This window comes from Homo sapiens, chromosome 3 (assembly GCF_000001405.40).
Source record: "Homo sapiens chromosome 3, GRCh38.p14 Primary Assembly".
Taxonomy (NCBI): Eukaryota; Metazoa; Chordata; class Mammalia; order Primates; family Hominidae; genus Homo; species Homo sapiens.
Genome location: NC_000003.12, coordinates 14,467,820 through 14,494,378, shown reverse-complemented (window position 1 = coordinate 14,494,378; position 26,559 = coordinate 14,467,820). Strand labels below are relative to the sequence as shown.

General features: G+C 52.3%; 2 protein-coding genes across 15 annotated transcripts in view, besides 1 other annotated feature; one reads left to right on the top strand and one right to left on the bottom strand.

The window, feature by feature from the left end:
* The window catches only part of GRIP2 (glutamate receptor interacting protein 2), a 113,911-nt gene extending 108,639 nt beyond the window's left edge, over window positions 1–5,272 (top strand). For all 7 annotated transcript variants that reach the window (XM_047449036.1, XM_011534142.4, XM_011534143.4 and 4 more), the window contains one exon: window positions 553–5,272. In XM_047449036.1, the coding sequence (XP_047304992.1) occupies window positions 553–714 (162 nt within the window). In that variant the 3' untranslated portion in view covers window positions 715–5,272. The remainder of the gene's footprint in view (window positions 1–552) is intronic.
* Window positions 5,030–26,559, bottom strand: part of SLC6A6 (solute carrier family 6 member 6) — an 86,774-nt gene continuing 65,244 nt past the window's right edge. For 5 of the 8 annotated variants that reach the window (NM_001134367.3, NM_003043.6, XM_011534030.2 and 2 more), the window contains 8 exons: window positions 26,423–26,526; window positions 26,167–26,291; window positions 22,062–22,174; window positions 17,037–17,174; window positions 15,811–15,913; window positions 15,194–15,294; window positions 12,538–12,708; window positions 5,030–9,512 (listed from right to left, as the gene is read on the bottom strand). In NM_001134367.3, coding sequence (NP_001127839.2) covers window positions 9,372–9,512; window positions 12,538–12,708; window positions 15,194–15,294; window positions 15,811–15,913; window positions 17,037–17,174; window positions 22,062–22,174; window positions 26,167–26,291; window positions 26,423–26,526 — 996 coding nt within the window. In that variant the 3' untranslated portion in view covers window positions 5,030–9,371. Of the gene's footprint in view, window positions 9,513–12,537; window positions 12,709–14,140; window positions 14,260–15,193; window positions 15,295–15,810; window positions 15,914–17,036; window positions 17,175–22,061; window positions 22,175–26,166; window positions 26,292–26,422; window positions 26,527–26,559 lie in introns of those variants that run through there. The other 3 variants (XR_940495.4, NR_103507.3, XM_047448763.1) reach the window with 3 other exon arrangements.
* Window positions 21,465–22,356: an enhancer, noted in NCBI's record as "H3K27ac-H3K4me1 hESC enhancer chr3:14513531-14514422 (GRCh37/hg19 assembly coordinates)". NCBI's record gives its function as "activates a minimal SCP1, AML or CMV promoter by ChIP-STARR-seq in naive H9 embryonic stem cells {active_cell/tissue: H9 hESC(naive)}" and the evidence as "EXISTENCE:reporter gene assay evidence [ECO:0000049][PMID:30033119]".

Below are 26,559 nucleotides of genomic sequence, written 5' to 3'. Positions count from 1 at the left end.
TCCGTGCCGCCCCTTCTCATGCCCTGGCTATTTTTGCTCCCTCAGTGTGTTTTTTGCCATATTTATATGAAATTTACTCAATTCATGTTTTCTCTAAATTGATGGCACTTTTTCAATTTACATTTGACTTTGAAAGGAAACTTTTTGTCTCCATTAGGAGTGAAAATCTTGCACCCCTTGCTTTGAAATAGAAAGTGGGTGTAAAATGCAAATAAAATAGAAAGAAGACAATGTCACATCACACAGTTCTAGGCAGGAGGCTCTCTGAGTGTGTGGTCTGCTCTTTCATGTGAGAAAGGGAGAAAAGCAAGAGTTAGAGGGGTATGAAAGGTATACCTGCCCCTTCCTAGAACTTTCTCTTTGATGAAACCTAACAGAAGGACTGAGAGAGAGTTAGAGGAAGAATGTTCCTCTGTGTGTGGTGCTGGTGATGTCAGGGCTTGCGTCAAGGCTGGGGCAGGACCCATCTTTAGGACATCACATGCCTCTTGCTCCCTTCAGCGCAGCAGGGCTGACATCTCGGTTCTGTTCCCTTGCTTGTGCCCCATGCAGGTCAACCACGTCCGTACACGGGACTTCGACTGCTGCCTGGCGGTGCCACTCCTGGCCGAGGCGGGTGATGTCTTGGAGCTGATCATCAGCCGCAAGCCGCACACGGCACACAGCAGCCGGGCCCCCCGATCGCCAGGCCCCAGCAGTCCCCGGATGCTCTGAAGTCAGCATGTGGGCCGAACTCCTAAGGGGCCACCCAGGCAGATCCTGGCTCCCAGACACGTAGCTGGGCTGGAGAAGCGGCCACCCACTCATTCATCTGTTGGTCTGGCAGACTCTGAGCCTGGGATGATGCTTGGTCTCTGTTCCCCAGGTCTGTGGTGACTGGGGTGCCAGGCAGGGAGGTCCTGCCCTAGTTGGAGTGACAGCTGGGGTCTCTCGCCAAGTTGGGTCTCCAAGATGCCCAGAGGAGCCTCCCTTAAGAAGGGTTGGCACAGGCTGCTCAGCCGAGAGGAGAGAGGCCTGGGGGCTGTCCCAGGTCTCTGTGGGGCCTCCTTGGAGAGGTCGAAGATGTAGGGAGCACTTCCTCCCAGCAAAGCCATGGAGCTGGAATGAGCTGCAAGGAGGAGTGAGTTCTCGGTCACAGGAGGTGAGCAGGCAGGAGCTGGATACCCCAGCGCAGTCATGCATTGGGGTATGAGGCATTCCCATGATGCGTGCACACGCGCTTGGGGGTTGGCTTCCTGATGGGGAGCCACTTCATCTAGAGACTCGGCCACCAGGAAGGATGCTGCTTCGGATGGGAGCCCAGCTCCTTCGCTTCTCCAGAATAGGGGTTTGGGGCTTGCTAGTCCTGAGATTCTGAGATTCCCAGAATCTGGTCCCCACTTATGAGACTCTTAAGTTGGGGCGTCTGGGATCCCAGGAAGTGCTGGCCCTTTGATTCTGAAAGTGGGTGATTCTTTGATTTCAGCATCTCAGTCTGAAGCTTCTGGGACTTGAGACTGTGGTTCTGGGCCCATTGGGCAGGCTCTATGGGCCTTGGGCTCTCAGCCCTCCTGCTTCTTCTGTAGGCCGTGTGGCCACTGACCCATCTGCACGTCCGCTCAGCCCAAGCCCCTCCATGTGGGAGGGGTCATTTTGGGGCAAAAGACCCTGGAGCTTCCATTCACCTGCCATCCAGTGAAAATTGAAAAGCGATGGACGCAGGACCTGTGAGGCGGTAGCGCTCCTCTTTACAGCCAGATCAGTGGAGGAAGAGGAGAAAGAGGGAGGGAGATGGGAGAGAAATGGGCCAGAGAAAAAGATGGGACACTCTTGCCCAGTGGAGGGTGTCCAAAGTGCTTATTCAAAGAAGTCTATTCCCACTTGAAATCTGGAAGCACCAGCATCCCTTAAAATCATTGTCCTCAGTGTCCACAAATCAGAGACCCTCTTCATTTTGAGAAGGGTGTGGGCCTCCCCTGGTGGTCTAGTGAGTGGTGCCTGGGATGGAGTGGGCGGGCAGGTGTAGCCAGGGCTGGGGATGTGCTTTGCCTGGCCCAGTTCTCACAGGGGTCTCAGGAAAACGGGGCACCCACTCCCACCTCCATCTGTCTCCAACCTGGGGTCCCTGGAGGCCAGAAAAGTGCTCTTCCATTTGAGGGAACAGATGAGGAGTCAAGAGGTCTGTTCTTTTCACCCTGGGTCTGTTACCTGTTTGCTGTGTGACCCTGTCTGGGTTGGACCCCCAGCCCCTCTGGACGATCACGGGTGGACAGTCTGAGCAGACACAGGCCTCCTGGTCAGGGCCGGAACCATCTCTGCCGACCCACCAAGGCCCCCTTGGGGACCTGCCCACGCTGTCTCCTGGAGGCCTGCCTCCCTTACCCCTCCCCTCCACTTCGCTGGGCTCTGCCCCTTGGTGCCCTCCCTGAGGGCCCTGCATGCTTGTGCCTGGGGTGCTCAGCGCCTCTGCTATCTTGGATTCCCGTGTACTCAGCCCAGAGTGAAAGGGCACTGTCTACCTGTCACAGGGCACCAAGTGAAAGCCAAGAGCCCTCACTTTTGAGGGTGAGGGACAGCACAGCAGAGGTGTGGCTTCTGGATGCAAGCAGCCATAGCTGTGTGACCTTGGACAGGTGGCTCAGCCTCTCTGGACCTCTGCTAAGCAACAGGGCTGGACAGGACACACTCTCAGGGCCTCTCGGCTTGGGAAAACTGCATTGACTCCAGGACTCCAGGCGAGGGAAGATGCACCCGACTCTAACTAATACCCCCCTCCCTCCTCGGGCTGAGGCCTCTGCCATTCTCCCAAAAGTATGCAATCAGGCCCGCGGTGGGCCTCCCAGCCATGCCGGCCTCCTCATATGCAATATTTCTTCTGGCTTCTCATGGGGATGGTTCATCCCCGACTTGAAATTTCCTGACACCTTTCCCCAGTGAGCGCCCTGCCTGCCTATGCATTTTGGGAACAGCCCCTGTGACATGTCCCCTTCCACCTGCCCTCTCCCCCAAAGCTGTATTTTTCTCTGGCTGAGATTAGAACACATTCCTTGTAAAGTATTTTTCTACATCGGGTTTTCTTAGGGCTCTCGGGAAGCACAAGGGGCTGTATTGCAAAGGCCGCTTATGGTCTGTTTGGGGCCCTCGTCTAAGTCTTTGTCCCACCAGGGGTTGCAGTGGCTTGGGGGTAGGTGCCATGGGGATGATTTTTTAAAATAAAATTATTTAAATCCACCTAGAGTAGAAGTTTGCTTTTTAAAAAAATCATGGATTGGCAAGAGTCAGCTTCTGTATGGGTCTGGTGACATCTCACCTGCTTTTGATGATTCATTAATTCAAAAAGTTTGCCATTTGCTTCCATCATCCAGCCCCTGGGCAACATGAATCAGACAGATTTAGGTCATGTCTGCACATTCTGGTGGCAGGCAGACAATCAACAAGTAAGCAAATAAATAATTATTTCAAAAGGCATCAAGTGCAACAAAGAAAACAAGGGAGTAACGGGATAGAGGGACCAGGGTGAGGGGCTTTAGCTCACAATATTAGGAGGGGTTTCTCTCAAGAGGCGACATTTGCAATGAGACCTGAAGACAGGAGCCAGCCTCCATGGAGACCTGGAGGAAGAGTGTCTCAGGCAGCGGGCACAGCTAGTGCAAAGGCCCTGAGATAGGAACGAGTTTGACGGTCTCAAGGAAGAGAAAGAAGGCCTGGGAGGGGAATGGGGCTGGAGACTAGGTTGGAGGTAGCAGGAATCAGTCGTGAAGGCTTGGGTAGGGGGAGCAAATTTGATTCTCTGCGCAGCAGAAAGCCAGAGGCAGGCAGTGGTGCCTGCATATGGAGTCTCTTTAGCCCAGGTTGGGAAGGTAGTGGCAGGAGGGCAGCCTCAGGTCTGGCTGCTGCCCTGGAGTGTCCAGAGAGTGTCTAGGGCAGGTGAGCTACAGGGTCTGGGACCCAGAGGCCAGGGCCAGGCCCCACTGGGGAGGCCACAGTTCTGTGAGCAGAGGAAGAGCTTCTTTCCAGGAAGCGAGTACTCTGTCTTGGGAGTGGTGTAGGCAGGGGGAAGGCCAAGGGAGGCAGCAGGCCTTGCTCTAAGCGCTTTGCAAGAGCTTGCTGGATCCTCCCAATAGCCTTTGGAGGTGGGCTCTATTCCTGTCCCATCATTACAGATGAGGAAACAGGCACAGAGAGGTTACGTAATTTGCCCAAGTCCACACAGGTAGTAAGGGATGGAACCAGGGCTTGAACACAAGCCACATGGCCCAGTACACATAGAGAGAGGCAGGCAGGTAGGCATAGGCTGTCAGAAAGAGCCAGAAAATGGGGGTAGGGTGGTCTTCTATTCTAACATTGTCTATAAATGAGTTACTGAGAATTTTGTCTGGTTAGTTGGGCAAAGGGCTCAACTGACTCCCGAGTTTGTCCATCCCAAAGGGTGGGGGGCGCTGTTGGCAGGAAGGCTGCCCCAAACATGGACCTGTTGTGACCCCAGAGAGCCCCTAACTGGGTATTAATGAGCGCCTGCACCTGACGGTGGGGGAGTGGGAGAAGGGCAATCAGGTTTGCTCCCCCTCTACCCTTTCCCCCACTCCGCCACCCGCTTTCTGCCCTTCTGGCAGGTCAGCCCAAGGCTAAAGAGGAGGGACTGAAAGCCGCAGCAGGTGAGCACCTAAGGCCAAGAGCATCACCTCCAATCATCCTGGTGGCCTTGATGGGGACAATGGTTTATTCCAGATGGGGAAACTGAGGCTCAGGTGACTGCTGCCAGATCTCCCAGCTGTACAGGGCTGGGCATGTAGCAGGTAGAATCAGTAGAGCCAGTAGAGCCAAGAGCTCATGGGCCCGGGTGCGAATCCAGGTTCTTTCATGGACTTGCTGTGTACCCCTGAGTGAGCAAGCTGCTTCCTCTGTGAGCCTCCATGTGGGAACCTCTAACCTGGGAAAATACCTACCTTTGAGGAGCGTCCTGGGATTGGACGGGAAGCCCTTTATAAAATGTAAAGCGTTTGGCAAACGTTGAGGGGGAAATACCTCACCAGAACACAACCCACACATGTTGGATGTTAAAAAGGAAATGTTTATTTTCATGTTATAAGGTGATTACAAACTCCTCTAAAAAAAGCAAAGATGAATTTAAAATATTGATATACATATTTATCTAAAAAGCAAAAGAGAAAAAAACCCCTGCAAAATACAGGGAATCATATCATAAAACATTTATACACAAAAGCTTGTATACTGCAAGACTGAACTACACACCAAGGATCTTGTTCAAATACAAATGTTCCTCCTCAGAAAAGTCTCTTGTTGGTTGATTTTTTTTTTATAAAAGTTTAAAATATCTTAAAAATATTTTGAAGTTTTAAAAAAATGTCCTGATGAGCCAGACATATTTCTGGAAGGAGGCAAGACCCACATTCTCAGCTTTCTCTTGTGCTAAATACAGAGTCACAGTTGCTAGGGATTGGGAGATTAATTGGGTAAAAAAAAAAAATGAAGCCAACATCTCAATTTGAAGTCAAATATATAACAGGATGCTCCATCCCTCGGAGAACACGCCAGAACATGTCTGTAGTGACACCCACAAGAGAACAATGCAAAAATGCTTCCTATTACAACAATATATATTCTGAGGATCAGGGAGAGAAGGAAAGGGGGAGGGCTGCCCCCTGCTTTCTGGACTGCCCACCTCTACAAGTTTGGCTCTCTGGGTTTGTTTTGTTTAGTCTTGTGGTTTTGTACTTCGATTTTTGCACACAGTGGTATTTACCGTGTCCCAGGCAGCCTGGCCTGGGACCACATGGGTCTGAGGGAGGGATGGGACCTCAGGCCACCTTGAAGGATTTTCTCTTGGGTCCTTTCCTGGCTTGTGTCTGAATCTTGGGTGGGGTGGGCTGCGGGGAGCAGTTAGGTGCCTCTGCCTTTAGACTGGCTACCCAGAGCATTTCCCCAGGGAGAGGGGCTGTGCTGGGAGATGCTGGCTGGGTGGGGGACCAGTGTGGCGGTACCCGGGTGATACAAGAGTGCCCTGAAGTGGGCTGGAGGGGCCATGCTGTGCTCTCCCCTTGTGTTTCCCCACTGTCTTTGGGGGTATGCTGGGGATCCAGGGGGCAGTGAAGGAGCTGCACATGGCCCAGGGGTTATGCTGTCCTGGAAGGAGAGCATCCAAGGCCACTTCCTGCTGCCTGGAAACTCCCCGCAGAGCCTCGGGGTCAGTCTGGAGCCAGGGCGACTTCATCTAAATCCTGCCTAAGGATCTGGCACACCTCTGGCTTCTCTGCACCTCAGTTCCCTCTTTCACAAACAGGGATCTCAATTCCTAGCTCACCAAGGGCTGCTGGGAGGAAGGAGGGCCCCGTGCAGGGCTGGGGTGTGCAGGTGAGGCTGGAGTCACCCAGCTCACGGAGCCACCGCATGGGTCCAGGAATTCTGTGAGGATGGTGGGAGTGTGGCTGCTGCTGCTCCCCTCATCCCTGAACATGGAGGGGAGCGCATTTCCTTTTCCATAAAGGCTTGTCTTTGGTTGTCAGGAAGACCTTGAGGATGTTGCTGGATGTAGCCCTGGTTAGACACTCACCATTCCCTGCACCTACCTCGGAGAACCTGCAGCTAGAGCTGTTTCAAGAAAATCCATTCCTGGCTCACAGTGCCTCCCTGAGCCTCAGTTACCTCATTTACAACAAGGGCGTTGGGTTAGGGGACCCTGGAGGCCCTTCTCTCCCTGACCGTCAGGAAATCTCTGTGGCCCTAGCATGGCCCATCTCAACGCAGTGTCTCCCACTTCTTCATCTTAAAAAATTGATTTAAACAACCCCCTCGCTTCCTTTCCAGATCTGGCTGGCTGGGCTATGTGCGGGCATCAGCATTTCTGACCCATCCCAAGCAGAAAGCAGGTGAAGGACTTTGCCCATTCTCTATAGACAGGTGGACCAGAGTCATGAGCTCTCATGGAAAGTTTCGTTTATACGGAGACATGAAGGTTGAGCATTATTACACAGGTACTCGCAGAGCTATGCTCTGCACACAGAGCCAGGGCTGGCTGGGCGAGAGGGCTCTGATTGGAGACAGGTGCCTTGGGGAGAGTTGAGGAACGACTTCCTTCCAGGCGGGGCCTGGGGACTTGGTCTGCCTGTGTCTTTGGTCTAGAATTTGGTCTGAGAATCTTATAAGAAGAGGCCTTCCTCAGGCCATGTCCAGAATGTTGCAATTTGCCTACCAACCCAAAATACTGTGGCCTTTCACCCAGGGAGCCCCCGCTGGGGAGATGGAAACTGAAATGACCACAAATGCCCAGGTAGCCACTGCGTGCCAAGTCCCCTCTTCCCCACGTGCCACCTGCCCTCAATCATTGACAGTGGTTAGTTTACTAAAGTTATATAAGACAAAGGAAAACAGGTCACAATGCTACTCCATAAAATCAGGGAAAAAACAGTAAAATCAAATCAGACACAAACGGCAACCATAAATACATAGAAAAACAGGAACAAGATAGAATCGTTGAGAGTTTGGAATAGGACTGGGTGTTGTTTGGCAGAGTAGATAGCTTTGGAAACAGTGAAATATGTATGCCTGCCAAAGATGGGGTTCAGAATTGCCCCTTGGGAGGGGGACACCAAAGGCATACTCCTCCTCCCAAATTTAAGAAGGGGGTTTCCAGGGTTCCAAGAGCCCCTGCTGTGAAAATTCTGCGGTCTGCACCCCTCGAGGCAGTGACTGCCTTTGTGCGTGGTCACGTTTCGGTTTCATTTAGACTGAGCTTGGAAGTGACTGTTCAAATGGCACAGTTTAGGTCCAAATAGGGGCTGGGTGGGGGTGTGTCTGCCCTGGGGATTTGAAAGGTATAGTACCTTCTCTCCTGGTTCAGAGACAACCTCTGCTCCACATAAGGCCCTTGATCAAGCCAGTTCTGAGGGGCCAGGACCCTGACAATCCCAACCTTCTAGAAAACTCTCCTAGGCCTTCTCTTTTGGGTCCGCAGGTGGTAAATGTCTGTAAACCCAGCTATTGCAGGGGTTTTGAAGTGAAGAGCTTTGTTATATCCTAGGTCAGCACCACGGGCTGCCCTTGTTCTGAACTGGGAGCACTTCCCCCAGTGGAGGATACAGACTCAAAAGCTGTTCTTGGTGTGCCTTGCTAGGTGCCAGGGCAGCCCAGGGTGGCATCTTTAATGAGGGCTTGGCAGGAGTCTCCCAGGCTGAGAGTGGGGAGTGGGGAGATGAGGAAAGAAAGCACCCCTCCCCGACACCGGGCCCATCTGCATGCCTGGGGCCTATATCCTTTGGTCCACTCACCTCCCCACCACTCCCCTAGTCCCTCAACAGGTATGTCATGCTTCATTCCTGCAGGCAACTTTAAGAGATGCTGAGATGTTGCTTGGGGAATGACCAGAACCTGCTATGACCCCATTCAAATGCAACAGACTCATCTGAGCCCTGAGACCCCAGCTCCTGCCGGGAGAGCCTCTGCTCCTTCTCTGCCTGGAATGCCCCAGGAAGGACTGTGGCCTCCTGTGCCTCTGCCACCTCTTGCGAGGCTGAGTTGTGAGCCTCACTCCTGCCAGCCTTCTTGGATCTCTAGCAGCTCCCTCTCTGGCCAGTGGTTCTGACGGTCTACTGACTATCCACTCACCATCTCAAAATTAAAAGTGGGATTTTGCTTCTGGTACAAGTTTCTACTGCTCTTAGAATCAGACTTCTGCTATAGGGCCTCCTCATTCAGCTTCAGCCAGTCTCCTTTATGTGAAGGGTTGGTTCATTCCTTTGGCATCTCTCTTCTTCACTAAGCCAAGTTTAATGAGGTATCTCCTCACAGCCCTCCTTTCTTCCCCCTGGGTCTGCCAGCTAATGGGTCCTCTCTCCTGCTATTTCTTCCATCTGAACCAGGATTTGGAAGGTATACCACCTTAAGATGGGTGTAGAGTCCCAGGAAAATTCCATCCTGCGTTTACTGGACAGAACTTTCTGCCAGCTACACAGCACCGAAGAATTGCTTTTGAAAATGAGATCTATTGCTGGCAAGAAGATCAATTCAAGTGGTAAAAGTATATGACAATCTCTAAGTGTATATATACTTATATGTAAAAAAAAAAATACAAAGAAAAATTTACCAAATTCCCATAAAATACATCTAATTCAGTATGAAAGCTCTGCCTCTCCACGGACATCTTCCCGTGGGTTTTCTTTTTGTACAAAATATCCCCCAAATCAAAACAAAACACACACACACGATACACACACACACACACACGCACGCACACATACCCACAATTACATTTTCTGTGACAATTACAAAAAAAAAAAAATCCTAGTGCAAATATAAAGCTCTGTAAACCTGGTCCTATGAGAATCTAATGTTAGTAAACAGCAGGAAAGCCGCCGGCCCCGTCGACCCGAGAGAGCTCACATCATGGTCTCCACAATGATGTGGGTCGGTTTCACGAGAGCGCCGTTCATGACGGTGCGAGAGTTGTAAGGTGTGGCTCCCTCGCGCTCCACAGCCCAGCGGTTGGGTTCCCTTGGGGTCAGCAGGTACTTGACTCTCTGGAGAAGGATGACAGGAGTGAGGGGGGAAACGTCAGGCGGCCTGGTCTCCCCTTCGCCAGGGCCATCTGCCTCCTCCTGAATTGGCTCATGTGCTGTTTGGTTTTTGGTAAACTCACACCCTCTCTGATCTCCTGTTTTTGTCCTTTTTGGAAATAATGGAATTGAACTAAGGCGCTCCTAAGGTGCCACTAGGCCCTGACTCAAGGCGGAATTCCTGTTGGTGGTTTCCTTCCTTGGCCAAACCCCTGCTTACGTTCCTACAGGGATGGGGGACTCAACCTTCATGTGCTTTTTTTCTTCTATGGAACTAAAATATGCCTCCCTGTGATTCTCTCCCTCTGATTTCTCTGCCTTGCAAAGCAGCAGTTGAGTTCCTCTCATTTGTATGCCCTGAGTTGGACAACTGTCTTCAGCCTCCATGGCTCCCACCTTCCCCAAGGAGAAACTCCAAACTCCTCAGCCTCCCATAAGCTACACTTCCTGCCTTCTTGCAGAGACAGGTCTTCCCTAGTTTCCTGAAGGCATCCAGTCCTCCCAGCAGGGTTTACATCTTAAGGGCTTGGAGAACCTTGCTCGCATTTGAGCTGCCCTTCCAAGAGATAGGAGCTGCATGGGAATTCTAGATCACTCCTGAGCAGGGTGAGTTTTGTCCTCACAGTTGGTTGAGTGTCCCTCTCCAAGGATACCCAGAAAATCCATGTCAGAACTGGGACTCAACCAGACTCCCACTCCCCAGTCCACCTCTTGCCAACTGTCAACTCAGAGACTTGAATAGGCCAGCAGTTGAAAGACAAACAAACAAAACAACAAGCCCTCTTTCTAGGCATTTATATTCAACTTAGGTATGTTACAAATTTTTAAAAGCTGCTTATTAAAAGCTACAGTATTTCATTTAAAAACCCAGTTTTCGGTAATCCCAGCACTTTGGGAAGCAGGAGGATCGCTCAAGGTCAGGATTTAAAGGCAGTCTGGGCAACACAGTGAGACCCTAACTCTTAAAAAAAAAAATTAAAAATTAGCCAGGCATGGTGGTACGTGCCTGTAGTCCAAGTTACTCGGGAGGCTGAGGAAAGAAGATTGCTTGAGCCCAGGAATTTGAGGCTGTGATTGAGCCACTGCACTCCAGCCTGGGCAAAGGAGCAAGACCCTGTCTCTATTTTTTTTGTTTTTAAATCCAGTTTTCCATCTTTTCTTGAAAAGCTGCAAGATCTGGCAACTCCAGGCCCAGGTCCCCTCCTTGTAGCACCTTCTCCAGTTTGCTCCCAGCCCTACCCCCATGACTTCCCTCACCTGAGCCACCTGCCAGCTCTCCCTCCATCACTTTGCCTCTCCACATCCATACAATGGGCTGTGCCTGGGAGGGCGGAGGAGAGTCAAACCCCCAGGCAGCCACTTGGGGCTCTGCCTACACAGGAGGCTCAGGCAGAGCTGGAACCATCCTGGGACAGAGATCTGGGTTTGCCAGAACCTGGCTCAGAGAGAAGCTCATGGCTGGGAGGACACCTTGATGACTTGTGCAGGTGGGAGCCCCTGAGGGGCACATAAAGAAAGACAGACAGATGGTGGCTCAACTGCCTTCACAGGGGCCTTTGGTGAAGTCAGACTGGCACAGGAGGACGGGGTACCAGTGTGGGGTGAAGCCTGCCCTCACCCACTCCCCCACCTCTTTCCCCCATGCCAACCCCACTCCACCCAAACTTCTAAATGTGGGCTGGACCAATATTTTAAAATGAGGCTTTGAAGGACACCAAGTTAGTGACCTGTTGGGTGTCCCCCTGAACCAATGGTATGTAATTGCTTTGGGCACTCACCAATCAGAGCAGAGACCCCTAGACCAATCAGAACCTTTAGAGACCCCTTGCTGTGCCCTAATGAACCCTTTGGCTTCTGGACAGTAAGGACATTCTGGAAACTCTGGTTGGGTTGGCCTGGAGTATTGTGGGGTCACCTGGAGGGCTCGGGACAGTCACTGTTCCCTGCCTGTCCCCAGGCCCAGTATTTCAGTCTGTTAACAGCTCATAGGGCCATTTAGCGTTCTGGCTAAAGACTGGTTGGGGTGCTGCCCTCTGTCCTCTGAAAAAATAGAATGGGTCAAAAGCTCCAGGATAACCCCAGGGGCCCCCCCAGTTTCAAGGATTTCCTCCTGCCCTGCCAGCTTCCTCAGTCTCCCCTCCCTCCCCTGCCACCAGCACCACCTCCAGGCCATTCCCCTGCCCAGGAGGAAACAGGACCCAGCCCAGCAGGGAGCCAGGGCCCCAGGACATCCTGGCTCCAGATTTTTAAAAGAGAATAACAATAAAAACAGCCCAGAACAAAACAGTGCACTCTTGGAGCCAGCCCAAGCTCAAAAGGTTAAGGGAGATTCTGAGAAAAGAATTTCTTGGAAAGAGTAGGGCCTTTGCCAGGGCCTGGGATCTCCAGGGCTGTTGGAGGAATTTCTGAGAGGAGGCTGAAGGTAGGTGGGGCCAGGGGAGGCCCCAGCAGGCACAGAGGCAGAGGTCTGGCTGCCGCCACAGATCCGGAGAAGACCCCAGCATGGGCTGGGATGATCCTAAATTTGGCTCCTCAATAAAAGAAGGCATCTGGGTGGGGCTCAGGCTTCCTCCCTAGGCTCCTGGCTTTGTCCCACCGCTTCAGGAACATGGCCCCACTGGTCCCAGGATAAAGCCCCAGCTCTTAGCTTGGCATCCAAAGCTACAGTCACCTCTCCAGCCTCACTGCCCACCCCAACTCTGCCAACACCAGGAACACCTTCCCTCTCACATTCTCCATCTGGCAAGTTCCTCCTCACCCCACAGCCCGGCTTCCAATGTCTCCATAAAGCCTTCTCCCATGTGAACTCTACTTGCTTCCCGTCTTCCCACAATGCACTCTGCTGCCCATAAGCTGAACCACTGGATGGGTGAGGGAACTATGGCTCAGAGAGGGCAGGTGACTTGCCTGAGATCACGCAGCAAACTGACAACAATCACCTTTGGCCTCGCGCCTCCCACCTCCCCTGGCCCTGGGCCCAAGCACTTACCACAAGGAACGGCCCCTCAGTCTGGCAGAGGCGGATGACGATGACCAAGGGAACGCAGAGCATGGAGGAAAGGGCCAGGCTCCAGCCCAGCCCAATGGCCCAGTTGGGGTACACGTATGTTTTGTTGTAGGTCAGGGGTACGTACTTGACGAGCGAGAAGATGAAACATCCCTGCGGAGAGATGGGGGCAGTCAGGAGAGGGGTCCTGGGCATCGGGGGGTGGGGGGCTTCTGGGACTAGGACTGGCCTCAACCTGAGGGAAGGGTCTCTCTCCTTGGGAAAGGACTGGCTCAGAACTCACACCCCTCTCTGCTGCCATAAGGATCCCCCCCGCCCCGGTAAAAACACAGTAAGTCGTTTCCCTGCTCAAAACCCTTCTGTGGCTCCCAGTGCCAGCAGATGCAGCCCAAACTCCTCGGTGCAGCCGGGAGTGTCAGCAGAAGCTGTACCCCTTCCTCCCTCATCTGCCTCAACTCTCCCTCCGTGTCCACACTCCAGCCACCCTGAAGAATTCCTTCTAGCTCCTCTGTCACTGAACTCTGGGTCTTGGCATGGGCTGTTTCCTCTGCCTGGCCCTCTTTCCCCCACATCTTCTCATCCTAACTTGGCTCCACTGGGTCTGCCTTACTTGCCCAGGCACCACCCATACCTCTCCTTCCAGAAAGCGAGTGGTTGTAACCATCTCTTGGGCACACGTGTTCTGCCAGACTGTGAGTCTGAGAGTAGGAATGTGTGTGTCTTGTCCTAGTTCTTTAACACCCAGTGCAGCTCCAGGTACATACAACAAGTGCACCATAAGTGCTAGCAGCGTAGATGAAAGCCTTTCTTCCCCCACTGCCACCCTCCATGTCTATCTCTGAGCCACCAGCAGCAGGGGCCTGGGCACCTGAGCCTTGCCCTGTTCGGTGTCCACAGCCCAGCCCTGGGTCCATGCTAATGGCTAGTGGCCATCAGCATGCATGAATGGTGGGGTGGGGTCAGCCCTGTGCCTCTAAAGGGAGCAAAGCCCACCTTTCCCTGTGAGAAGAGCACCTAAGGCTGGCTCGGGGCTCCCGGGGCTTCTGCTTCTAGTCAGAATGACAGCATCTCTGAGGAGGGCCCAGGGTGGCCTCTGATTGTTCCATAATGTGAAAATGGCCTAACTCTTCAACACCTAGTAACTGGGATTTGACAGGAAGATGCATCTTTCTAAAGCAGAGTCGGTGATGGGCAAGGGAGAGCACTAGCCTGCAGGCATCTTTTACTGGGCACCAACTGCACGTCTGGCCCTGCTGTTGTTCCCGTCCCTACGTGTAGGGCTGTGGCTCAGATGAGTGAGTCCCAAGAGATGCTGCCCTGGGCCCTCCCAAGCAGGAGGAGCTTGAGCCAGTGCCTGCCTGTTTCCCATTCCTCTCCATGAGGGTGACCTCATCTCACCACCTGGGAATGCAGCCTATCTCTGACGTATCCAGCTCCTCAGGGAGAGAGATAAGGAAACTGAGGGTCAGAGTGCTGAGAAGAGCTGCCCACAAGCAAACATTAAACCAGGATGAGAACACAGGTGGGCCAACTAAACTCATCTCCAAAGATAAACTCACCAATTGTTGTGGTTACTGGCTCTTACCATTACTTATTTTTGTGGGAGAAAGTCTGCACTTCAGAGGAAAAGGCTTCATATGCATATTAAATAACAGTAACAGTCTAAGGTCGTCAGCTGCCACCGGGGTCCTCCTTCACAGTCTCCTGGTTTTACAAGTGGGGAAACTGAGGCTCACAGAGGGAAGTGACTTGCTTGAGGTCATATCATGAGTTAACAGCAACATTGACTTAGTCTGGCCTGATAGCAGGTCACGGAGGGGAGGGCCTATTTGTCCTCAGCACCTGTCTCCTAAATCCAAGGAATATTGGGCCATTTGTGCTCCCCATAGTGGAGCCGTGAATGGCAGGATGGATGTGGTCTCCCTGGCAATAAGCTCCAATGATCACAAGTGATTGCAAACCCTGACGGCTTTGCCATGGAGGAATTCCACTCACTGGCACCCTGGAGTGCGACCATGAAGCAGACTGCATGGGCAGGTGCCAAGGCCAACTCCAACATGGTGGGCGAGAGCATCCTCGTGGGAAGAACAACGTGGCACACTGATACCCTTGGGCCTGGGTGAGTCCAAAGCTTCCCTATCCTTGGGAGAACCCAGGACTTCCCCTCTCTAAGCTACTACCCCCACCTCTCCATGGAAACACCCCATTTCCAATGTCTATGACCTCTCTACTAGATATCCCAAAGGCCCCTCTACTTCCCCAGTGACCCAAACAGAGCTCATGCGCTCTGGAAGGTTTGGGGAAAGAATGTGCTTTCAATTCTGGATCCCCTGGATTTCTCAACATGCTCCAGATACACCCTCTTCTTTTAGGATGCCTTGGCCCCGCACAGGCTGGCTCCTCTGCCAGAAATGCCCTTCTTGTTTTCTACTCCTGACAAATTCCTACTTATCCTTCAAAACTCAACTCAAGCTAACTCCCTGGAGCAGCCTTCCTCCCCTCTCCCAGGCAGCGCTGAAGCTGGGTTTATTATAAGCCCACGCTGAACAGATGCTGCATGAAAGATGGTTTAGCGGGTGAAAATGTCAAGCCCCAGGGAGAAGAGGCCACCAGCCAGAGCCACAGAAATGGAACTCACAACACAGAGAACTGGAGTGATCACAGCCCAGCTGTACTTCATCCAGGGCCCGGGCCGATAGCCAATCATGTCCTCAATACCATCATAAAGGTTATCACCTCCTGCAAGAGACAGAGGGGGACATTTTCTGACACAGCGTTCAAGGCCAGCAGCAGCTCAGGGGCCATGAGTGGGGTCTCTGGGACCTGATCCAGGCCTCTGCATCTCCACACCATGGATATACAAGTGTGGCAAAAACAGACATTTACATGAAATTCAAATATAACTCTGCATCTTGTATTTTTCTGGCAATCTGAGGCACACTCCAAACCCTAGGTGTGCAATCTTAGGCACAGCCCAAACTCAAACCCAAGGCCTCAAGGAGATAAAAAAGGAGTATTCCAGGTCCTGCACAACCAAGTTCTGAAACTGTGAAAACATCCAGTCACACCTCACACCTTTAGCACCAGGAGGATCTTCAGTGTGGCTACAGTGAGATTATTTGTGTAGTCTAGGTAGGGAGGGCCTACTGTTCAACTCAAATTGAATTTCTGTTAGTATTCTCTGCTTCTGAAGCTTCTAAGTAGAGAAGCCCAAAGGAGAGCCTTGAGAAAGGACATGAAAAAATCTGTACTCACCATATATCCAGGCAATAACAAAACATTCAAAGAATGCAACCCACAAAAGGCATACACCGCTAGCTGCATAGTAGTCAAAGAGCTGAAACACATACATGCCACCCTGTGAAGAAAAAAACCACAGAAGGTCGATTTCCTACCTGGTCTCCAATTTCTTTCATATACAAAGAGCTCTGGCATATCAATAAGATTAAAAAAACCCAAGAGAAAAATGGACAAAGACTCTGATGACCAGATAAATATACAAAAAGATGCTCAACTTCATGTTTGACAAATGTAATTAAAAACACACATACAGATAAATGAAAGCAAAATGATGGGTCCACGGGAGCCTGCTTCCCAAGGAGGTGCTTCACACCAAGTGCAGCTGACAGAGAAGACTCCAGGGTCACCCAGCTGCTCAGTGAGTGGCCCTAAAATCTGACTTCTGGGGTGGGGGTTCTTACAAATACCTCCAGAAAAACACTTTTACTTCTGGTAAGGAAAAATGGTGAAGTGAAGCCCTGAATTGGGTTTTCGGAGAACTGTTAAATGGGACCCGTTCCTGGGGAACAGGGGAGGTGGTGGGGGGGGGCATGCAGGAGAGAGCGTGCCCTGGCTTTGATGCTAGGCTTCCATTCTTAGTACAATCTTTATCTCATCTGGCTTGCCTCTTGCTAGACACGTCTTAGACGTTCCCGTTCCCTTCTGCTCTTTGCTTCCCTTGTCTGCATCTGAAATCGCCCCTCCTCCTGGCCCCTGCTCACCCTCTGAATAGTGTATGTGCCCCCTATCAACCCATACCCACCAGGACTCGGTCCTGTGGCAGGTGACCTGCAAGGTGGTGCACCTCTACGTGGTGCTGTGGTATTTCCTGGGAGGCCTGCGTTTACCCTTGAGAATGTCTCCACCCCACCCCCAGGCCTGAGAAGGGCACACAGTCAGGGGTGAACAGAGATGTTGTGAAATGGATTTCAGCTGAAGATCCTCTTCCCAGGACAGAGGGCAGCGGGTGGTCACAGTGTTGCCACAGCAACAGGCAAAATAATTGGGTAGTTTGGGTCAGCTGTGGGCTCCTGAGCCCCCTCGTGCTACCCCCAGTGTTGGTCCAAGCAGGACCCCTGAATTGGGTGGGGCTGGGAGATGAAGCCCCTACCTGGCCCTCTCACCCAGCTGCTGCCTCCACTATGGCCTTGAGGAGGGCACTGGAGCACCAAGCCTGAAACACAGCTGAGAGAGCCACCTACCTCCGTCACCATCGTCAGCCCCAGCAGGTAGCTGATGCTACACACGAAGGCGATGAAGATTTCCCGACGATAACCCTTCCTTAGGAAGGATGGGTAAAGATCAACCAAGGATGTGATCTGTCCTTCAACTTCAACAAACTGAGGAGGGGAAGAGAGAGAGCTGGTGAGCGGCTGACGCTCAGGCCACCCTTGCCTGCTGCTCGGAGGGAAGGGCCCAGGAACACACAATGCAGGAGCAGACGTGACCATCCTTGTGTCCAGAATTGGCCTGTGAGATCAAGTCCAAGTGTGGAAGCCTGGCCTCCCTGACTGTGCCTGGGGAGTCCCGCCTGCCACTCCTCGGAGCCAGACAACGCAACATTCGGTGGTCCACACCGAGCTGGCCAAATATTCCACACCTCTGCATCTTCTCTCAGGCTGTTCCTGCCACCAGAATGCCTTTCCCCATCCTCCAAAGCTGAGCTTGAGAACAACTGCGCCTCTGAAGCCAATGCTGACCCTCTGTCCTGGCACATTCAGGGGCATATATGTGTTGCCATGACAACCTCCCTCACTGATCTCCATCCTCGTGGAAGATAAGGGTGGTATCACATTCACTTTTGGGCCTCGAATGCCGAGCCCTGCCAGACACATTGGCTGCTCAGAAAATGTGATGAATGGGTGGACCTTAGCACCAACTTGCTTGGCAGGTCAGGGGAAGTCTGAGCCTCAGTTTCCCCATCAGTGGAATGGCAGGCAGTTCAGGTCAGATTCACACAGTGGCTTTCAATCCTTTGGGGATCACAAGCCCATGAGAGGACTTTGCATGTGCGCACACACGCTGTGTGTGCTGCCTGGGACTCCAGGAACCCCTTCCTGGGCTCCCAAAGGAAAAGAAGCTGGTTGGAAAAGGCCCCTCTGTAGGTAACATTTCAGGGGAATTCTCAGTCTTTCTAAACCTTTCCATCTCGTGCCTAACCATTTATCTTGGGGGTTGTTCCACATCATTACACAGAAAGCTGCCTCATTTTTTAATTGATAAAACTCCACCCTGTGGGTAGGCATCGCCATTGATCTAATGCCCAGCTGATGGTCTCCAGACTCAGCTCTTCCTCTCCTCCTGTGTGCAGGCATCTGTGCATGTAGCACAGTCTTAAAAGAGAAGCTTTGGGGTTAAAGAGCACACAGCAGCACTTTAAATTTGGATGGCTACACCCAAACTTCCCTGCCAACCAACACACCCTCCAAGGCCTATCTGATTCCTTCAAAAGTTGAAGAGCTTATTCAACCTGGACCCAGATGTCCTTTCATCTGAACGAGGCTTTTGGGAAGGACGTTTCCCCAGCATTCCTACCAGAGAAATCTAACCCCTTCCTCCTTTGGGACGCATTGCAGGAAAATCCAGGGAAGGAACACAAACGGGGAGAAATCCCTTTCATGTGCTGACAAGGGCTGGAGAGATGAGACTGCCACCAGGAATAAGGGAAAAGACGAGCAGGAGGCTCTCAAGAGGGATCCAAGAGAAGAGGCTGCTTTTTTGACCTCTGACTCATGTGTCTGCCGCAGGGGTTTTGAACCTAAATTGCCACCGAATTATAGCAAACCGGCAGCTCAAACACTTAAGCTTCAAAAGGAGCTAAAAACAAAGGTTCTTTCCTTTTTTGAGATGGGGAAATTAAAGACAGGAAGGTCAGTGTCGCTGTGAATCAGGGCCAAGACCAGCACAAACCCCCATTTCTCAGTTCCTGCCGCTTCCAGAGAACACTGCCCTTCTCCACCAGCCTCTTCAGCCCTCCGTCGCTTAACAGCTGTGTGATTGGCTTCTCCGAGCCTCACTTGCCTCTCCGTGAAATGGGAGGATCTTGTCCACTTGGCAGGGATGTTGAGAAAGATTTGAAATTATTAGAGTAAATCTGCAAGTGGGAGATAACTGTTAACCCATGTCAGCGGGCTGGGTGAGCTCTTTGGTTGCAGGAGGAGTGGGTTCCAACTCTCATCTCCTCTCACAATTTGTTAAAAAAAACCATGTCCCAGCTGGGTGCAGTGGTTCACGTCTGTAATTCCAGCACTTTGGGAGGCCAAGGCAGGCAGATCACCTGAGGTCAGGAGTTCGAGACCAGCCTGGCCAACATGACAAAACCCTGTTTCTACAAAAAAAAAAAAAATTAGCCAGGTATGGTGGCACATGCCTGTAATCCCAGCTACTTGGGAGGCTGAGGCAGGAGAATCACTTGAACCCAGGAGGCAGAAGTTGCAGTGGGCCAAGGCTGCGCCACTGCACTCTAACCTGGGCGACAGAGCAAGGCTCCATCTCAAAACAAACAAAAAACCGTGTCCCTCTTGGGTAGCCTGGATGGCAACAGGCATCTGCCTCCACATGGCTGACTCCTCTACCCTGTCTCACCAAGAAAGGCGCAGCAGTATGATGGCTCTTAGGCCAGACGGACTGTTCCCGCCAATGGTAGGAACCCCTGATGAGTCAGGGTGACACCCCCTGCTCCCTTGCCCAGGACGCAATAACATCAGCGGGAGGCCTCTGCCTCTGGGCTGTAGATCTCCATACTTCCAACAGGAGGAAGTTATTTTGGGGGAATTCAAGGGGAAGGCCAGTTGGGACAAACTAGCAGGTAAGAGACAGTTTCTGCAGACAGGCAGACCTGGTATCAAGCCCTTCACTAGCTGTGTGGAGCCTTGGCTAAGTTCTTGGTCTCTCTAAGTCTCAGTTTCCTCAGCTATAAGAAGGGTAAAAATAGTACCCAGGCATTGCAACACTGCAGCTTAAGGAGTTCATGTACAAAAAGCCAGGTGCGGGGCCGGCAGGAGGGCAAACTGGGGAGTTAGGAGTCAGTGTTGAATGGGGACAGAGGCTCCATTTGGGAAGAGGAAAAAGTTCTGGAGACGGACGGTGGTGATGGCCGCGCAATGTCTGAAGGTACTAATGCCACTGAACTGTGCACTTAAACCTGGTTTAGATGGTAAATGTGTGGTCACCCCAAACACACGCACACACAGAAGCCTGCCATGAGGACCGGCACCCAGGGAACACCTCTTACGGCAGAGGGCTCTGATCCTGTCACAGTGCTGGCAGTGGGTGAGGCACACTGCTGGCATCTGCAAAACCTTCCCCATTTCCCCAAGTTCACAAAGCAAAGAGATGCAAAGGAGGAAGCCCCACCTGTGCGATCAGATTCCCATCCTGGTTCCCTGGGACATGGGGCCTGGGAGACCAGTGACTTAGGTTCGATTTCTACCCTTGTCCCTGGCAGGTCATCTAACTGCTCTGAGCCTTGAGTTCCTCGCTCTGCAAAGTAGGAGGAGTGGCTGTGAGAGCCCACCAGATTCTCTCCGTGTGCCACTGACACGGGGCCTCCCTGAGAGATGCGTGTCCTCCACCAGGCCCCACTTCCTGGGGAGAAAATCTAATGAGTGACCACCTCCACCTGCTCAGGGAGCCGTTTCCAAAGCCCAAGTGGCCTATTTTGGGCCCATGAAGATGTCATGCCTTGTCATTTATTAACCTCTGTTTTTGTTTTTTTCTTTCACTTAGAGCTCTGGAAGAAGTTATAAAAGCCATTTGCTTGGGGCCTCTGAAGGCCAAACTCATTAACTAGGAATGATTAATGGAGTCCTCCTGCTTGTTTATTCAGCTCAAGTCTATCAACAACTGCAGAAGTATTTTGTTTTCCGTCTCCCTGATGTTTTCGTTCTGTCTTCTCTGCTAATCCTGCCCCCTTCTCTGCCAAATCCCCTGCTCTGCTCTTGACCTTGCTGGCTGGCCGCCTCCTCTCCCTGGACTCACCCTCCTCTGCTTGACCTTCAGAGACTTTTCCCCTACCAGGTTCTGGGGACCCACTTGGGACAATGACTCTGAAGACTTCGGCCCGCGGGGAGGGGGACAAAGGGTTCTCCCGCCCTGGCTGCAAGCTCCAACCTCTCAGGGGGTCTCAGTTGCTCAAAGGCTTCCCAAGAGGCATTCAGACCTCCAGACCCAGACTACACAGTCTACATCCTACCTGCTTCTCAGTGGCCCATGTGCATGGCGCTGCCTGAGGGGCTCATGCTGGGCTGGGCACACAACCAGCCTGTCCCACATGCCATAAATCCCTACTCCTGGAGTCATGCCTGTGCTCTGAACTGTTGTTTCAACAAGACCCTGTCAAAAATACACCTATTTCCAGGGAAAGGGGCCCAGGAGCTCAAGTGAATTGTCCTCCGAGCACTGCTGACTACCCCACACTAGGCACTGGCTACTCTACAGCCAGATGCAGCCACTCATCGGCTCTCACTGGCATTCCCTGGCCATGAGTCACCTTCTAGTGGAGGCCTGAGCCCTGAAGGGGTGGGATACGGGGTTTAGAAGTGCAGGAAAGAACCTCAGTGGAGACAGGAGTCCTGCCTTGGGAGGGGAGAAGCCAGGACAGCCAGAGGTCAGGGCGGGTTTGAGCGAGGCTCCCGGCCTGTGCGGTGTATAAAGCACGGGAGGGAGCCAATGCCCAGCCCCTCGCACGCTCCAGGGAGCACAGAATCCTGAGTGTGGCGTAGGCTTCTCCTGGGCACTTGCAACTTATTACGATGGCCCAGACAATGATCAGCTCACACAGAAATGTGGGTCCCTTCTCCGAATCGCCCATCTGCCATGTCCTCCTGTGCCCCGCCGACGCTCCACTGGAGCACATCATGACTTATTGAGTCATGACCTCCAATTCGTCATTTGTGGCTTGACTGTAACCACAAACCCTGGTTGTCCCTGTCATAACCCACCCACTCCGAGAACCTCTGGATGCCCCTCTGCTAGCAGATAATGTGCCATGCCACGTCTTGTTTGCACTCCATTAGGCTAAATAATTATCTTGTTCAAATGCACTTTCTGGGGACGCAGAGCTTTTTCTATTCCTGGTGTCCTGGAGGAACCCTCACAGCTGAAGCACTGGAAGTCTGACTGGAGGGGGGAAGGGGGTTGACCACCTCCCAGGTGGAATAAGGAGTCTTTCCCAGAGTCAGGTTCCCCACAGGGGCAGTCGCCCCAGGGCCATCCCTTATACGCACCTGGCTATCCAGTCCAAGCAAGAGAAGCATAATAAAAAAAAGAATGGACCAAAATGTGGGCAGCGGCATCATTGTCACAGCTTTTGGGTAGGCAATGAAGGCCAGGCCAGGACCTAGAAAGGAAAGAAAACGGGGAGGGGCACAGGGGAGGAGACATCAGCCACCAAGCCACTGGGAACCCTGGGCTCACACAAAGACACTCAGACCCAAATACAGCAGGGAGCCAGGTCTGAACTCTGGCCTGGGGAAAGAGACCAGGCCTGTCTCGCCTTTGGGTGGGACACGCTGGGGCTCAGGAGGGGCCCGGTTTTAGCATCTGTCTCCTACACAGCACACGTGGCCTCCTCACACACCAGCATCCATCGGGGCGTGGTTATTTGGGGTAGGATGCAGACTGAGCCCAGGGCTTGGTCTGCAGAGACAAAGGAAAGGGAGGATCCTCCCACCCCAAAGCAAAGCCATTGAGTGGACAGCCTTTGCTGGAAGGAGGCGGGGGAGCGTGGTGGTGACCTGACCGCCCAGTCTCCTTTGCAAAGGGAAAGTTTCTATTTTTGAGTTAATGGCTAAAACACCATAGGAGTGGAAAGAAAAACCAATACAAAACCACGCCCAACAGGAGGCCTGTCTCTTCAGGGGTGCATTTGTGGGGCTCTCCCTGGCAAGGTCAGAGCCAAGCCCATGAGGTCAAGGTTGGGCCAACCAGGGCCCAAAGCTGAGGGAACATGGGTGCAGGGGCAAGGTCCCAGGCCTGCAAGCCCTGAGGCCTGCATCCAAGTCATCCTCTTCCAATTTCCTTTTTGAATCACCCCATACCCTCTCAGGGCCTCAGTTTCCCCACCTGAAAAGTGAGGGGCAGGTGGCCATAAATGACTCACAAGGAGCCTTCCTGTGTTTAGATTCTCAGAGGTAGACACCATGTCACTAGAAAAGGGCTCTGGGTTTCAAAAGAAGGGACTTGGATAGAACCTGAGGGAGAGCTGGGGAGATGGGAGCTCTGTCAGCTCAGGGGATGTCTCTGATGGGAGACATTCCGGAGACAGAGAGAAATGTCTCCTCCTGTCTCCAGCCTGCCTGAAAGCGGATGCCAACGGAAATAATTTAATTGTTAACTGAGACCTGTGGGTCTGAGAAGCGAGGGCAGCAAAAGAAAGTAAAATCTACAACTAAAAAAAAAAAAAAAAAAAAAAGTCAAGAAGCAGGAAACAAAAAGGGCCAGAGCAGGAGCTGTTCAGCAGGGATTAGAAACCAGACGAATGGCTCAAGAATGAAAAACAAAAAGCAAAACCCAACTTTACAATAAATTGGAACCAGAAACCACATTATACGGTGTTAACACCCCCAGTGTGCCAGGGAAGGGTGTGTCCTTTTACAATCCAGAGAAAACCTGACCAAAATATATCCTTGGGCAGCGACAGAGTGGTTGCTCGCTGAGATGCTGGAGACCCCCATCAGGAGCGGGGGTTACCAAGCCCAAAACTGCTCAGAACATGCCCAAAAGAACCAGGGCCAGGTTCAGAAAAATATGGACCCCAGGACCCGGTGAGATGACTTTTGAATCAAAGTTGAAGTTGGAGTCAAAAGCCGCGGCGTTTCCACCCAGACCGGGGCCCCACTGGTCCCTACAGAACATCAGCGTTGGCCCTGACTGGTCCACACTGAATGAGGAATCGAGTCCAGCCAGCTGCAAGACAGATGCAAAATGGGCCCCCACAACCCCCAACCCACCAGGGACGTTGTGAAGATTCTCAATTCGCTCGTTTCTGTATTTTAGTTTTGCCTTTCTCAAGCGAGCCTCTGGGAGAGGGTCTGAGCGTCTTTCTCTAAAAGTGCATGGTGAACTCAAGAGAGAGAAGTCCAGGAGACATAATCCAGCCACTCCGAGAACCTCTGGATGCCTCTCTGCTAGCAGACAATGTGCCATGCCACGTCTTGTTTGCACTCTGTTAGGCTAAATAATTATCTTGTTCAAATGCACTTCACTCAATATGGTGCTTGTTAAAAGCTTATTAGAGAAATAATCACCCTTGATGTGCCGGCTGTTCAGACATCACCGTGGGGAATAAATGACAAGGTGTTTGAAGTGGACGGGAGGAAAAAACAACTGAGATTGACAATATATGTGTCTACGAAAATACTTCGTTGTCCATGGAGGAAGATACATTGTATGTATCTATCTGTATCTCCCATTGCCAAATTCACTCCATACTCCTGGAGATTCCCACTCAATTGCGATTGGTTTGCAAGCCCTCAGCTGAAAGCAAGCCATCTACAGAGGAGGTATAAATCATCTCTGGCTCCCCCTCACCACTCTAATTGCCAAACTCCCTAAGGGGCGTGGGGACTTCTGGAGTTACATTCTGTGTCCTCAGTCTCTGGCCTGCTTTTGGGGGCTCTTTGGGCTCAGTGGAGGGAACAGTACATCTGAGGGTCCACTTTGGAAGCAGGGACAGTGGAGAGGTGTGTGGGGGTGACATGTGGATTTGCCAAGGGGGTCCTGCAGTGTTGTCAGGGGTCTCAGGATGGGGCTGGGCAGTGTGCATCTCTGCCAAGCAAAGAAGACAGTGAGGAGGGGCCAGGGGCTCTGGGAGGTCACAAGGGCCAAATTCTCACACTGGAAGGGCCAGAGGTTGTTGCATGTGTCCAGGGTGGGCTGGATGGCAGGAGGGGGACACCCTTGTGTCAGAAGGCCTGTCCAGCGTGTGACAAGTGGAGAAATAGTGGACAGGATGTTCAGAAAGCCCTGTTGTAGCCCCACCTATCCCAAGCAAAGCCCTTGCTCTCAGGTTGCTGGTCTCCTCATCTGAGAAGGGAACATCTGGACACGCGATGCTGAGGCACCTTCTGACCCCCCAGTGCTAGGGCTCTAGGACTCAGGGACTGGGACATCGCCTCATGTTCCAAATACAGATGGCACAGGAGGTCAAGGGCAGTGGAATGGCAGGGCCTCCGGCTGTGTCTGGCCCTAGTCTATGGTGGTCCCTGAAGTTAATAACCCCCACGCTCTCCCTTCGGCTTGGAAGGAGCCTCAGCCCAGGACCTTGCCACCTCCAGGTAGCCCCAGGGAAGTTGTATGAAATTAGGACATGGACGGGGTGGGGCTGGGGGCTCAGCATGTAAAATAACAAAACCAACTGATGACCACCCTCCAAGTAAACTGTGCAGGGCCGGGGAAGGGTGGAGAGGTCGGAAAGGTGGACTTTGAGGATCCTGGGAGCCTGAGGGAATCCCATAACCCAAGCCACTGCAATTAAAGCTACAGACCCAGGACCTCAAGCAGCCATGGCCAAGTCCCAGAATCGAGGCACCTGAGAGATTGCAGATTCTAGCAACTGAAGGCCCCATGATTCTCAGGTTCCAGAAGCACCTTGCTGGAACTCTGGGATCCCAGATTCCTAAGTTCCCCGTCTGTGCAGAGTCCGTGATTCTAAGCCACTGGCATCCTCCATGCCTGTGACTCCAGGTAGCCCGAGGAAGAGTGCCTGGTCAACAGGGCCCACACCCCGAGGGGCGACACTGTGCTTACAACCCACCCCCAGTTGGATCTGCCACCGTCCCAGTAGGTCGTCCCCTCATCTACGCCCTCCCCCCACACACTGCACCCAGTGCCTACGGTGGTGCCTGACACAGAGTTGGGACTCATTCACGAGAAATCGGTGGGATGGATGAATGCGTCTGCTTAGAGGGAGCACGCTGGGAGCAAAGTGCAAAATACAGAAACCAAGGCTGAGAAGGTGGTGATGGAATGCCGATTGGTGGCTGACTTGGGCCTGAGTTAGGAAAGTGGTTTCTATTGTGGAAACCAGGAGTTTGCTGGGGAAGGACGGGGGGGCGGGGAAGACCACACTAAGGTAGCTAAAAATTCCCCAACTTAACCACCCCCCATGCTTTTGCCACCCATCAGGGCCAAATTGCAATACAAATGTTTAAAATTTGGCTTTGTACTCTTTGAAATTTGGGGGATATCTTGGTGGCGGGGGGGGGGTCCATTTTAGAAACCAGGCTCGTCCCCCCTCAAAGCCCCCTGGGGTCTGGCTTCATGCCTGCAGTACTTGGCTTACACACTAGGTGGCAGTGCCCACCACCACTGCCACCGATACCACCGTACCTGACTCAGCCACATCAGCAATGTCCACCCCTTGCTCTTGTGCCATGAAGCCCAGGATGGAAAAAATTGCGAAGCCAGACACAAAACTGGTACCACTGTTCAGGCATCCCAGCAGCATACAGTCCCTAAGTTACACATATGTCAGGGAGCAAGTTAATTCACAACACAAGGAAGCCACGCTCCCTACTTCTCTTTTTCTTTAAACATCATCATCATCATTTCTAAAGTCCACCAGGCCCGCCGGCGCAACACTTGCCTGTACGAGTTATACTTGTACTTGTTGTAGCTCCCCAGCGAGGTCATAGCCCCCAGGCAGATGGCATAAGAGAAGAATATCTGAGTCCCAGCGTCAATCCACACCTATGAGGGGGAGGGAGGTGGCAAGGAAAGAGA